The sequence below is a fragment of the Homo sapiens genome, chromosome X (genome assembly GCF_000001405.40).
Source record: "Homo sapiens chromosome X, GRCh38.p14 Primary Assembly".
NCBI classification, from domain to species: Eukaryota; Metazoa; Chordata; class Mammalia; order Primates; family Hominidae; genus Homo; species Homo sapiens.
This window is the reverse complement of record NC_000023.11, coordinates 30,450,900-30,465,588: the sequence shown is the minus strand read 5'-3', so window position 1 is coordinate 30,465,588 and position 14,689 is coordinate 30,450,900. Positions and strand designations below refer to the sequence as shown.

General features: G+C 39.6%; 1 annotated feature.

Moving 5' to 3' along the window:
* Window positions 10,607–11,165: an enhancer, noted in NCBI's record as "NANOG hESC enhancer chrX:30472541-30473099 (GRCh37/hg19 assembly coordinates)". NCBI's record gives its function as "activates a minimal SCP1, AML or CMV promoter by ChIP-STARR-seq in naive H9 embryonic stem cells {active_cell/tissue: H9 hESC(naive)}" and the evidence as "EXISTENCE:reporter gene assay evidence [ECO:0000049][PMID:30033119]".

The following is a 14,689-nucleotide window of genomic DNA, read 5'->3' as shown; positions in this document are numbered from 1 at the left end:
ATATTGTTCTTACCTCTTTCTTTGCTATTGCATATTGCTCTACCTCATGCTTTTCAAAGGTTGTAGGATATTACACATAACTGATTCAGCCAATCCTCTAATAATAGACGTGTATCTTTGGTTCTCTTGCTGTTACAAAAATGCTGCAACAAACAATCTTGAGCATACATCTTTGTGCACACAGGAAAGTATACCTGTAGGATAAATTTCTGGAACTGGAACTCTGAGGTCAAAGAGTATGTGCATTTAAATTTTGATATATTGCCTATTGCTCTCCAGAAATGTTGCACCAATTTATATTTCCACCAACAGTATATAAAAGTGAATTCTCTTTTTAGGAATGTATTCTATAGGAATTCTCACACTAGGACTCACGCAACCAAAAATACTAACCTGTATGGACATTTTGAACCACTAATAGAGAATGAAAGCTAGAACCAGCAACATTCAACAGTATATCACAATGATCTTCCCACAGCCCATGGAAACTACATATTGCAGGGCCGTAATAGGCACGGAAAATCCTGAGAGCCTGAGGGATTAATAAAGAGAGTTTTGAATATGTGCTGTGCTGAACATTTTTCCTCTGCAAATGAGGGAAGCACCACCTTCAGAATTTCCATTTAAGTAATAGGAGGCAGGGACTGAAGGACCATGAACTTTAGTAGCCTATCATTAGCAGATATTGTGGGTTTTGACTTTTTTTTTTGAAGGAGGTAGGGAGGCTAAATTTGAATGATGTTGTTACCTCCCTGAACCTACGGATAAAGACAGCAGGTGCTCAATTCATTCAGCAATGACAACCTTCCAAGATACTATGCCTACTTTAGAGACAACAAAATGGGTGCTTGGGCAGATCAAGTTCCTTCCCCCAGGATTTCACAAGTTAATGGTTTTAGAACCAAAATCCAAACTAAAGACTTATGATAAATCCAATGCTTTTTCTGGGCTGTCCAAATCTGATTTTGCGCTTATTCTAAATTTCAGTTAGACCCCAAACACATTCTGTTGAGATCCTTTTACTCAAGTATGAAATTCTACGTATTATTGAATGATTTGCATGTCAAAAATTATACTGTATCTAAATGTTACATACATTAAGAGTTACTCTGACTTCTACACTTTTCCGAGAGCCCACAATAGGTTTTTTCCTAAAAATTAGAAACCTAAAACTACAAGTATAAACAACTAAAATTACATCAACACTTTCAAACTCATGGTATTCAAATAGGTTCTAAAGTGAGTACACACAATCTTCCTCTCTCTCCCCTTGACTTCTGTTTATCATCATGTATGTTTCTTATTCTCATTTTTCTCATTTAGTTTTCACAATGTATATATATTTCCACCCAAAATACTAAGAGTTTCCCCACTGAGAAATACTAGCCAATCTAAGATTTGTCTGATTTTAATCAGATACTTTTTCTAACCAGTCATACTTTCTCTAGGGAAAATAACAAATTTATTTGAAAAGTTGCTAATGATTTTAAATGGGTCAGTGATGTTACACAAAGAAACAAAATCATAATGCCAGGTATCTTCTGAATATTTTCAAAGACTCATTTATTTAACTCTTTTCCAAAACAACATGGACTTTCTCTTCTATCTCATTTTGCCTATTCATATCTCTTGTTTCTTTGCTTCTCTCACATTTTTTTCTTTGGCATATTAAATTTCTCTGAGAACTGACCCTTGCATTATGATTTTGTTTCTTTATGTAACATCACTGACCCATTTAAAATCATTAGTAACTTTGCAAATAAATTTGTTATTTTCCCTAGAGACAGTATGACTGGTTAGAAAAAGTATCTGATTAAAGTCAGACAAATCTTAGATTGGCTAGTATTTCTCACTGGGGAAATTCTTAGTATTTTGGGTGGGAATATACACTGTGAAAACTAAAAATGCTTCGTGCATTTCCAAAAGCCCCTTAGAGAGAGAACCTCTGTGCTGAGCTGTAAGCAACTTGAAGGAATGAACTACGTTGTATTCACCATTTGATCCCCAGTCTAAAACAATGCCAAGCACTTGATAAGAAATCTAAAAGTATTGGTTGAACTAATGTAGTTATTAGGCAAGTTACTTAACTTCTGTGGCCAGGAATGTTTTGCACAGCTCCTCCAGGGCCTGTAGATAAATGATTACACATGCTCAAACACATATGTGCATTGCAACTCTACCTGTTGTGATCTTAGTCACTATTTTATGATACTTTTACTGTACTTACTGGGATGTCATGTGTTTTACCCATTTATTCTATTGACCCAGAATTTTCATTCTTAGACATTATTGAACCGAAATGTGTACATATATGTAACAAGAGACATATACAAGAGTGCTCATAACAATATTATTCATATTAACTCCAAGCTGGAAACTACCAAAATGTCATCAACATGGAAGATTACAGTAGAACACTGCACAGCGATGCAAATGAATAGTTATGCATAGTACTATGTATACTTACTAATATCAGGGAAGAAACTAACACAAAACTTTAAATATGGCCGGGCGCAGTGACTGACATTTGTAATCCCAGCATTTTGGGAGGCTAAGATGGGAGGACTGCTTGAGCACAGGAGTTGGAGACCAGCCTGGGCAACACGGTGAGACCTTGTCTCTACAAATAATACAAAAATTAGCCAGGTGTGGTGGCATGTACCTGTAGTCCCAACTGCTCAGGAGACTGAGGTGGGAGGATGGTTTGAGCCCAGGAGGTTGCAGCTGCAGTGAACTATGTTTGTGCCACTGCACTGCAGCCTGGGCAACACAGCAAGACCCTGTTTTAAAAAAAAGGTTAAATAATGCACTTATATGAAGTTAAAAAAGGCAAAATTAGGCTATAATGTTAGAAATCAGGACACTGGTTACTTTTCCGAGAAAGCTTGGGTTAAGAGCTATGAGGGGGTATGAAGGAAGCTTGTGATGCATGGATAATGGTCTAGTTCTTGATTTGGCTGGTGGTTACACAGATGTGTTAGCTTTGTGACTAATCATCAGCTTGTATAATTGTGACTTATGCATTTTCTGCATATGTGCCATTTCTCTGCAAAAACTTATTTAAAAATTTAATACCTTTGTATGCATGTACAATGATACAGCGAATATCTGGGAAAATAGGCATCTTGGGAAAGTTTGGGCAGATTTGAAAGGGAAGTAGTAAAACAGCCATTCACAAATGATATCATCGTGTGTACATGAAAAATTTAAAAGAATCAACAGACAAATTAGCCGAGTCTAACAAGGTGGTTGGTTATAAAATCAACATTGAAAATCACTGTTGATTATATAATCAAATGATTCTGTGTAGTAGCAACAAACAGAAAATAAAACAAACAGGTATAATTTATAATAGAATTAAAAGTTATATCGTATCTAGGAATAAATCTAATCTGCTGAGAAAACCTCAATTTCCCTCATTAAAGATAAAAATTAAAGAAAATCCAAATAAATTACATGATATATTATCTTTGTGGACCAATTGGTTTGTTATTGTATACATAACAATTATTCCAAATTAATCCACTGGATTCAATAAAATGCCAACCAAAAACCCATCAAATTTTTTAGTGAAACTTGACAAACTTATCCTGAAATTTAGATGGGAATACAAAAGGCTAAACAGACCAAATTATCTTTGAAGGATATTAACAAGGTAGGGAGTCTTGCACTACTGGATATCAAAACCTATTATAAAAGATAGCAGTTATTGTACTGGTATGCAGATAAATAAATAGAACAATGGAACTGATTAGGAAAGCCAGATGTAAGTCCAAACATGAATGGACACTCGATTTGTGACAGACTGGGCATGGCAGTGGAGCAAGGACAGTTTTTTCAATAAGTGAGGCTGGGACAATTGGATAATGATATGACAAAAAAAAAGAAACAGCAATCTGTTCCTCAAACCATACATAACATAATTTCTAGATGTATCATAAACCTTAATGTGAAAAGCAAAATGATAAAATTTCTATAAGTAAATATAAATGAATATTTTCATAACCTCAAGGTAGGGAAAGACTTCTTACACAGAATAGTAAAATCACTAACCATTAAGGATTAAGATCAATAATTTTAAATTAGGAGCAAATATCAAAAATCATGACTAACATGTAAAACGAAAGGCACAGAGTGGAAGATGAGATTTGCAATATGCGGCCAAAAAAGGACTACCACTGGGGATATATAAAGAACTCCTACAAGTAAATGAGAAAAATACAAACAATCCTGTAGGAAAATGGTCCAAAATCATGAACAGATACTGCGTAAAGATGACATCAAGTGATAAAAGCACAGAAAAAGTTGCTCAATTCCATTTATAATCAAGATAATGCAAACTTAGGCTACAATAAGATACCAAAATATAACCACCAGATAGGAAAAAAATTAGTCTGACAATACCAAGTGGTAGTGGGAATGTGGAGCAGCTTCATCTCTCACACACTACAGGTGAGAATGTATGAGATCATTTTTCTTCCAAGTGAAGCCAAGTATGATCTGTTGTAATCGCATGATTTTGGTTATTCCTCTATGCTGATAGGGCAGAGACATATAGGTCATTTTTGCTTTGACTTGTCAGCTTCCAGTGAAATGTTCAAATTTACTGCCCTTGGTCTGTGTGTATGTGTGGTAGTGGCTGGGGCTGGGGGAGGCAGAACAAGATTAGCTGTGTTCTTACGTGTCAGTGGTTCCATAGGGGTCCTGGTTGTGTGGAGTAGGGAGGAGATATAGGGGTCTATACAGCCTTCACATAACTTCCCATTTTCAGTCCTATTGGTATCCATGCCATAATTAGTTCCTTGATCCTGTAATTTCTGAACTTTTCTGGAGCTCTGTAGGAGACATTAGTTAGCTTTTGGATCCTGCTACCCACGGATTGCATTCAGCTTTCTCTGGTCTTCTCAGTCAGTATTACTCATTAACTGCTTTCTAGCTTCCAAACTTAGTTATTGTCTCTTGTCTGTTATTGTTCCCTGACATAATGCCAGTACATAGAATAATGGAAGTCACTGGTGACCTTACCAGAGGGATTCTGGTAGAGAGATTGGGACCACAGCCAGATGCCATAGAGGAGGAGAGCGTAAGACATGAAAACGTAGGAAGCAAGTGAAGACAGCTCTATTGAGAAGCTTGGCTCTGAAGGAGGATAGAGATGTGGCAGGAGCTGGAAAGTAAAGTGGAGCTGCAGGAGGAGGAAATGTATCTTTATCATCAAAACCATTTTACCTGATTAATCAATTCATATAGCTACCTTTCTGCCCTGGAAATTATTTTCTCTCCTCTTTAATAGGAAGAACCTGAATGTTTATGGTAGTTAATATTACAAATTCTGCCATTCTGAACATCTCCTTTGTGTACCTTTTTTTTGCAATTAAAATGGTACAAGACATCAAAGATTGAGAACTTGCATCCTTCCCCAGTGGAGACAGTACATGTAGATGTAGTTAGATGTTAGAGGCTCAGGGTTGATGTTTGTGTGATGGTTTCCTCTGGGGGACTATATTAAATATCCTGGGACTATGTCATTTACTTTTGCTTTCCTATGATTTAACCATCTGTTAACAAAAGCCCTAAATGCTTTTTCTTTTTACTTGTAGTTGATTGGCTGTAAATATATTTGACATTGTTTCATATCATTTAATAATATTACAACTCTAAAAGACCTCACTTGAATTTTGAGTGAATTTGTAGGTAAGTGCTTATATTTATGTGAATAATTTCTTTGAGTCTTAAGCTGAAATCATGCCTGTAACTACAGTAAGGAGGAAAGAAGAAGATCTGAGTCATTTTCCCTTTCTATTTGAATATCTCACTGATTTTGAAGTAAAATCTATTTTTGATTACTTTTGTCGTCAAGCATTCAGTATGAAACATTCTTAAAGGGCAAGAAATGATCTCTGGAACTACACAAATTTCTGAACATAGTTAATATTTTATGATTTGCAAAGTCCATGTCGGTACTACTTAAGCAGGTAGGACCCAGCTGCAGTAGTATTTGATCTGTTTAGAATGAGTGGGATTCTGTCTTTGAGGATCATGAGAATTTTATATTTCAATACTGTGTATCATCTTTTGCTCTCTTTTGAGTTCATTCACCTCTGCTACTTTTTCAAAGGATGTATCCTTCAAATATTTTCCTCTACAATTAATCATGTCTAGCAAACTCTAAGGTGAATAGAATAATGGCTATATACTCAGACTGCCTTCAACTTCACTTAAATTATTTTCTAAATTGCTTGTGTGTCCTGCCAGCCATGACTGTTCCCCTTCAAATACGATTATTATGATACTCTCTGCTTGCAAGGAATGGAGATAATTAAAGTCACAGATACTATTGTAATAACAATTTTAGCGAACATATTCAACCTTCATTTCAAGATTTGCCAACAATGCATCTCAATTTTATTATTTTATTTATTTCCTCTACTTCTTCTGATGTTGTATGGTTCAAAGACTTGGAGATTATGCTACTTGCTACATGTATGTCCTTGAGCGAGTTCCTCCTCTGAACCTCATACTCTAAAACTTAGGATAATAATATCAACCCCATGGAGTTTCTATGATGACTACATGAGATAATGTTTGTAAAATAATTAGAACATGGCTCCTGAGAAGTATCAGGAATTTCATAAACATTTAACTCAGGGTGAATTATATCCTGAGAAGTAACAAACATGTACTTAACTGTTTTACTAACCTCCAAATAATATGTGCTCAACGTAGAAAACTTGGTAAATAAAAAGGTATAAAGTGAGACCATCTGTAGAGCCACCAGACAGATATAATAACTATTAATATATGGGTGTATTAATTGAAAAAATTATGTACAGTCCTGAGCCACAGAACCTAGCATATAAGTGCTCAAAAATGCCTACACACACACACACTCTCTCACATTTTTTTGCTAGTCAGATGTATGTAATTGGTATATCTCTCTCTCTTATTTTTCTATGTATCTATTATCTATTTATCTATCATCTATCTATATTGATATAAGGTGATAAAATTAACACTTCAAAATATTTACATTTTAATCTATAAGTATATCTGTATCTATAAATATATCTTTACATACACCTATACAGATAATAATATGGCTTAAACTGCCAGATAAACCTTTTTGCAGGGACTAAATGTTTTTTACTGCCAGGAGTTCTGGTTTATTCAAGCTAACATCAGAGAGTACTACTCACATCATACAAGGTGGGCCAACATCTGAGTAACAGGCATGTTCCTCCCTCCTCTGTTCTTAACAATTTAGAGAAATGAAAGGGCTATCTTACTGTAGTGCTGTTGTCCAAAAGTTTTTGCAGAGCCTATAACGCTGGGGGTAGGTAGGGTAGCTTTAATAGTGTAACTAACTCCTGAAGACCTCAAGCTTGCAGCAGTGTCAATGGCACATCAACCAGAAGTGAATCTTAGCATCCTAGGCAGTGCTGATAGTCCTCACATCCCATGGGAGTCCTTTGACTAGTAGGAATTGCATATGCTCCAGCCTCAGGTAGGAACCTAAAGTCTCAGAAATCTGTTCAGGGGCACTAGAGTGGTAATATCAATCATTCGGGTTTTTGGAGATAACCTGCCATTCATTTTGCTATATGATCTCAGGCAGGTTATATGTCACCTCTTTGAGCTGCAGTCCCTTTAAATCAAGACTCTTGCTTGCAAGTGATAGTAATTTAATGTAAAGTTATGTAAATAAAAAGGGAATTTATTGCCTCTAGGATAACTAACATCCATTGAGAACTTTGTGTTTGCTGAAACCTGTTCTAAGTGCTTTACATATGCTTGCTTATTTAGTCTGTCCATAGTTCTATATAGCAGGTACTATTATTATCTCCATTTTATGGATAAGGAGACTGAGGCACAGAGTGGTGCCCAAGGATATTCACTTAGTAAGTGTGGAGCCGGAACTCAAATTAATACCAATGCCCAATAAATAGCTGTTGAATAAATATACAAACGTGAACTGGCCAGAAAGTGACCAGTGTAACTAGATCACTTGGCTGGCAGTAATAAAACATTTGTGAAGGCAAAAGCATGATCTTCTTGCCATATTCACTTAGTTTATTTCTGTTTCATGGTAGCAGTGACTTCTTTATCCCTACCTAACTCTGACTTTTGGTCACCTGATAAGCCAGTGCATGAAGAGGCTGTGTAGTTACTGGGACCAACACCTTAAGCAGGTTCTACAGATGGGAGATCAATAGCCTAATCTCATATATAAAAATGGCCAGCACAGGGATTATTCCATCACTATGTGACTGCCTTTCAAAATGTATTCAGATCTCGAAGTCCTTGAATAAAGACAAAAATGTGCACTGAGTTAAACATAGCCAGGAGGATCTGCCTCTACCTTTAAAGAGATCTCTGTATTTCATTCAATGCATTTTTTCCTATTTATATATTGTCTTCTTTCAAAAGAAATTTGAGGTGATCATTACACCTTTTTAAGGTTGTAAGTCTTCTCTAAGAAGCCCACCTGGCAAAGGATATGAACAGACACTTCTCAAAAGGAGACATTTATGCAGCCAACAGACATATGAAAAAATGCTCATCATCACTGTTCATTAGAGAAATGCAAATCAAAACCACAATGAGATACCATCTCACACCAGTTAGAATGGTGATCATTAAAAAGTCAGGAAACAACAGATGCTGGAGAGGATGTGGAGAAACACGAATGCTTTTACACTGCTGGTGGGAGTGTAAGTTAGTTCAACCATTGTGGAAGACAGTGTGGCTATTCCTCAAGGATCTAGAGCTAGAAATACCATTTGACCCAGCCATCCCATTACTGGGTATATACCCAAAGGATTATAAATCATGCTATTATAAAGACACATGCACACGTACGTTTATTGCAGCACTATTCACAATAGCAAAGACTTGGAACCAATCCAAATGTCCATCAATAATAGACTGGATAAAGAAAATGTGGCACATATACACCATGGAATACTATGCAGCCATGAAAAAGGATGAGTTCACGTCCTTTGTAGGGACATGGATGAAGCTGGAAATCATTATTCTCAGCAAACTATCACAAGGACAGAAAACCAAACACCACATGTTCTCACTCATAAGTGGGAGGTGAACAATGAAAAAACATGGACACAGGATGGGGAACATCACACACTGGGGCCTGTTGGGGGGTGGGGGGCTGGGAGAGGGATAGCATTAGGAGAAATACCTAATGTAAATGACGAGTTGATGGGTGCAACAAACCAACATGGCACATGTTTACCTGTGTAACAAACCTGCACGTTGTGCACATGTACCCTAGAACTTAAAGTATAATAATAAAAATAAAAAAATTTAAAAAGATAATATATTTAAAAAAAGAAGCGCACCTCATAGATGCCCCATTTAGAATACAGGATAACAGAATATTACCATAAAGCCAAGGTAAAAAATGCACATGCTGAAAGTGTGAAAGAGAAAACGAGAAAAAGAAAGCAATTACAGTAAAAACATGAAATTCCAAGCAAATAGATTAAACTACTTGAAGGGAGCAGATACATTTCTTTATCTAAATTATAATAACAACAGTATAGGCTTCCCTGAAGTTCAGTGTTGCTAGAATTTATTGAATACTTATTATATATTAAATACTTTTCATTTATTCATTCAACAGATTTTTTTCTTTTTTTTACTGTTTCTTATGTGTCAGGCCCAATTCTAGGTGTTAGGGATACAAGACTGAACCAAACACACAAAATTCCCTGCTTTCATAGAGCTTACATTTTAGTGGAGATGCAGAAAAAAAGCAAGTTGAGAAAGTGAGATTCATAGAATGTTATGCAGTGATAATCCGCAGAACACTTATAAGAAGTGGGAGTTTGCTGGGCTCAGTGGCTCATGCCTGTAATACTAGCACTTTGGGAGGCCGAGGCAGATGGATCACCTGAGGTTGGGAGTTCAAGACCAGCCTGCCCAACATGGAGAAACCCTGTCTCTACTAAAAATACAAAATTAGCAGGGTGTGGTGGCACATGCCTGTAATCCCAGCTACTTGGGAAGCTGAGGCAGGAGAATTGCTTGAACCCGGGAGGCGGAGGTTGCAGTGAGCCGAGATTGCACTCTAGCCTGGGCAACAAGAGCGACACTCCGTCTCAAAAAAACAAACAAACAAAAATAAGAAGTGGGAGTTATTACCTAATTTCAGAAGAGTTACATGTGAACTAGGAAAGCTATAACTCTGTCATCTCCTCCCTCCTTTGCCACTCTGGTAAGCATATAACATGACCCATAATGTGGGATTAGGGCTGCTATAGGGCTGTGGTGGGCCAAGATGCCATGATGTTGTGGTACCTCCTACCTACCCATAGTAGAACAACCTATGGCCCAGATAATAGAGCTAATGCCTAAATGTTGTACAAAGTCAAAACCAGAATAGCAAGTCCAAAACTAAGTCCCCTCATTCAGAGGACTGGGCAGAAGATGCTAAGAGAAACTTTAAATGAGGGAGTGGTAAAAGTATCACCAGGATTGAAAAATTTCTGCTGGACTTGACAAGTAGGAGAATATGACTATTTTTTGAAGGTCAGACTCAGTGGTATGGAAAAGGCAGAAACCAGAATGTAGTAGCTTAGTCAGTGACAGAAATGTGTGTAAAGATAGGTAACATATAATAGTGCAATAAAGAAATAGAGCTATGAAGTTAATAAAAGAGTAAATTTAATTATGACTAAAGGAACCATGGAACTCTCTATGAAAGAGTATATCAGGCCTCTGAGCCTAAGCTAAGCCATCATATCCCCTGTGACCTGCACATACACATCCAGATGGCCAGTTCCTGCCTTAATTGATGACATTCCAGCACAAAAGAAGTGAAAATGGCCTGTTCTTGCCTTAATTGATGACATTCCACCACAAAAGAAGTGAAAATGGCCTGTTCTTGCCTTAACTGATGACACTGTCTTGTGAAATTCCTTCTCCTTGCTCATCCTGGCTCAAAAGCTCCCCCACTGAGTACCTTGTGACCCCCACTCTGCCCGCCAGAGAACAACCCCCTTTGACTGTAATTTTCCTTTATCTACCCAAATCCTATAAAACGGCCCCACCCTCATCTCCCTTCGCTGACTCTCTTTTCGGACTCAGCCCGCCTGCACCCAGGTGAAATAAACAGCCTTGTTGCTCACACAAAGCCTGTTTGGTGGTCTCTTCACATGGACGTGCATGAAATTTGGTGCCGTGACTGGGATCAAGTGACCTCCCTTGGGAGATCAATCCCCTGTCCTCCTGCTCTTTGCTCCATGAAAAAGATCCACCTACGACCTCAGGTCCTTAGACCTACCAGCCCAAGGAACATCTCACCAATTTTAAATCAGGTAAGCGGCCTCTTCTTACTCTCTTCTCCAACCTTTCTCACTATCCCTCAACCACTTTCTCCTTTCCACTCTTCAATCTCTCCCTTCTCTTAATTTCAATTCTTTCATTTTCTGGTAGAGACAAAGGAGACACATTTTATCCGTGGACCCAAAACTCCGGCGCCAGTCACGGACTGGGAAGGCAGCCTTCCCTTGGTGTTTAATCATTGCAGAGACGCCTCTCTGATTATTCACCCACGTTTCAGAGGTGTCAGACCACGCAGGGACGCCTGCCTTGGTCCTTCACCCTTAGCGGCAAGTCCCGCTTTTCTGGGGAAGGGCAAGTACCCCAACCCCTTCTCTCAGTGTCTCTATCTCTTCTCTGCTTTTCTGGGGGAGAGGCAAGAACCCCTCAACCCCTTCTCCTTCACCCTTAGTGGCAAGTCCCACTTTTCTAGGGGAGGGGCAAGTACCCCAACCTCCTATCTCTGCACCCCGATCCCTTATTTTCATGCCCTGACCTCTTATATCTCTGTGCCCCAATCCCTTATTTCCACACCCCAACCTCTTATATCTCTGCGCCCTGATCCCTTATTTCCACGCCCCGACCTCGTATCTCTGTGCCCCAACCCCTTTCCCGCTTTTCTGGAGGGTAAGAACCCCCTAACCGCTTCCCTCCGTGTCTCTACTCTCCCTTTTCTTTAAACTTGCCTCCTTCACTATAAGCAACCTTCTACCCTCCATTCCCCCTTAGCCTGTGTTCTCAAGAACTTAAAACCTCTTCAACTCACACCTGACCTAAAACCTAAACGCCTTATTTTCTTCTGCAATGCCACTTGACCCCAATATAAACTCGACAGTAGTTCCAAATAGCCAGAAAACGGCACTTTCAATTTTTCCATCCTGCAAGATCTAAATAATTCTTGTGGTAAAATAGGCAAACGGTCTGAGGTGCCTGACATCCAGGCATTCCTTTACACATCAGTCCCTTCCTAGTCTCTGTTCCCAATGCAACTCGTCCCAAATCTTCCTTCTTTCCCTCCTGCCTGTCCTCTCAGTCCCAACCCCAAGCGTTGCTGAGTCTAATCTTCCTTTTTTACAGACCCATCTGACCTCTCCCCTCCTCGCCAGGCCAAGCTAGGTCCCAATTCTTCCTCAGCCTCCACTCCTCCCCCCTGTAATCCTTTTATCACCTTCCCTCCTCACACCTGGTCCGGCTTACAGTTTCGTTCATGACTAGCCCTCCCCCACCTGCCCAGCAATTTCCTCTTAAAAAGGTGGCTGAAGCTAAAGGCATAGTCAAAGTTAATGCTCCTTTTCTTTATCAGACCTCTCCCAAATCAGTGAGTGTTTAGGCTCTTTCATCAAATATGAAAAACCCAGCCCAGTTCATGGCTCGTTTGGCAGCAACCCTGAGATGCTTTACAGCCCTAGACACTGAAGGGTCAGAAGGCCGTCTTATTCTCAATATATATTTTATTACCCAATCTACTCCCAACATTAAATGAAACTCCAAAAATTAAATTCCGGCCCTCAAACCCCACAACAGGATTTAATTAACCTCGCCTTCAAGGTGTACAATAATAGAAAAAAGTTGCAATTCCTTGCCTCCACTGTGAGACAAACCCCAGCCACATCTCCAGCACACAAGAACTTCCAAATGCCTGAACCGCAGTGGCCAGGCCTTCCTCCAGAACCTCCTCCCAAAGGAGCTTGCCACAAGTGCCAGAAATCTGACCACCAGGCCAAGGAATGTCCACAGCCCAGGATTCCTCCTAAGCCGTGTCCCATCTGTGCAGGACCCCACTGGAAATCGGACTGTTCAACTCACCTGGCAGCCACTCCCAGAGCCCCTGGAACTCTAGCCCAAGGCTCTCTGATGGACTCCTTCCCAGATCTTCTCGGCTTAGCGGCTGAAGACTGACACTGCCCGATTGCCTCAGAAGCCTACAAGACCATCACAGACACTCTAAGTAACTCTCACAGTGGAAAGTCTGTCCCCTTCTTAATCAATACGGAGGCTACCCACTCCACATTACCTTCTTTTCAAGGGCCTGTTTCCCTTAACTCTGTAACTGTTGTGGGTATTGACAGCCAGGCTTCTAAACCTCTTAAAACTCCCCAACTCTGGTGCCAACTTAGACGATACTCTTTTAAGCACTCCTTTTTAGTTATCCCCACCTGCCCAGTTCCCTTATTAGGCCGAGACACTTTAACTAAATGATCTGCTTCCCTGACTATTCCTGGACTACAGCTGCATCTCATTGCCGCCCTTCTTCCCAATCCAAAGCCTCCTTTACGTTCTCCTCTTGTATCCCCCCGCCTTAACCCACAAGTGTAAGATACCTCTACTCCCTCCTTGGAGACCGATCATGCACCCCTTACCATCTCATTAAAACCTAATCACCCTTACCCTGCTCAATGCCAAGATCCCATCCCACAGCACGCTTTAAAAGGATTAAAGCCTGTTATCACTTGCCTGCTACAGCATGGCCTTTTAAAGCCTATAAACTCTCCTTACAATTCCCCCATTTTACCTTTCCTAGAACCAGACAAGCCTTACAGGTTAGTTCAGGATCTGTGCCTTATCAACCAAATTGTTTTGCCTATCCACCCCGTGGTGCCGAACCCATATACTCCCCTATCCTCAATACCTCCCTCCACAACCCATTATTCTGTTCTAGATCTCAAACATGCTTTCTTTACTATTCCTTTGCACCCTTCATCCCAGCCTCTCTTTGCTTTCACTTAGACTGACCTTGACACCCATCAGGCTCAGCAAATTACCTGGGCTGTACTGCCGCAAGGCTTCACAGACATCCCCCATTACTTCAGTCAAGCCCAAATTTCTTCCTCACCTGTTACCTGTCTCAGCGTAATTCTTATAAAAAACATACGTGCTCTCCCTGCTGCTCGTGTCCGACTAATCTCTCAAACCCCAACACCTTCTACATCCTAGGCATGGTTAGATACTTTCGACTTTAGATACCTAGTTTTGCCATCCTAACAAAACCATTATTATAAACTCACAAAAGGAAACCTAGCTGACCGCATAGATCCTAAATCCTTTCCCCACTCCTCTTTCCATTTCTTGAAGATAGCTTTAGAGACTGCCCCCACTCTAGCTCTCCCTGACTCATCCCAACCCTTTTCATTACACACAGCCAAAGTGCAAGGCTGTGCAGTCAGAATTCTTACACAAGGACCAGGATCGCGTCCTGTAGCCTTTTTGTCCAAACAACTTGACCTTACTGTTTTAAGCTGACCATTATGTCTCCATGCAGTGGCTGCTGCCGCCCTAATACTTTCAGAGGCCCTTAAAATCACAAATTATGCTCAACTCACTCTCTACATTTCTCATAACTTCCAAAATC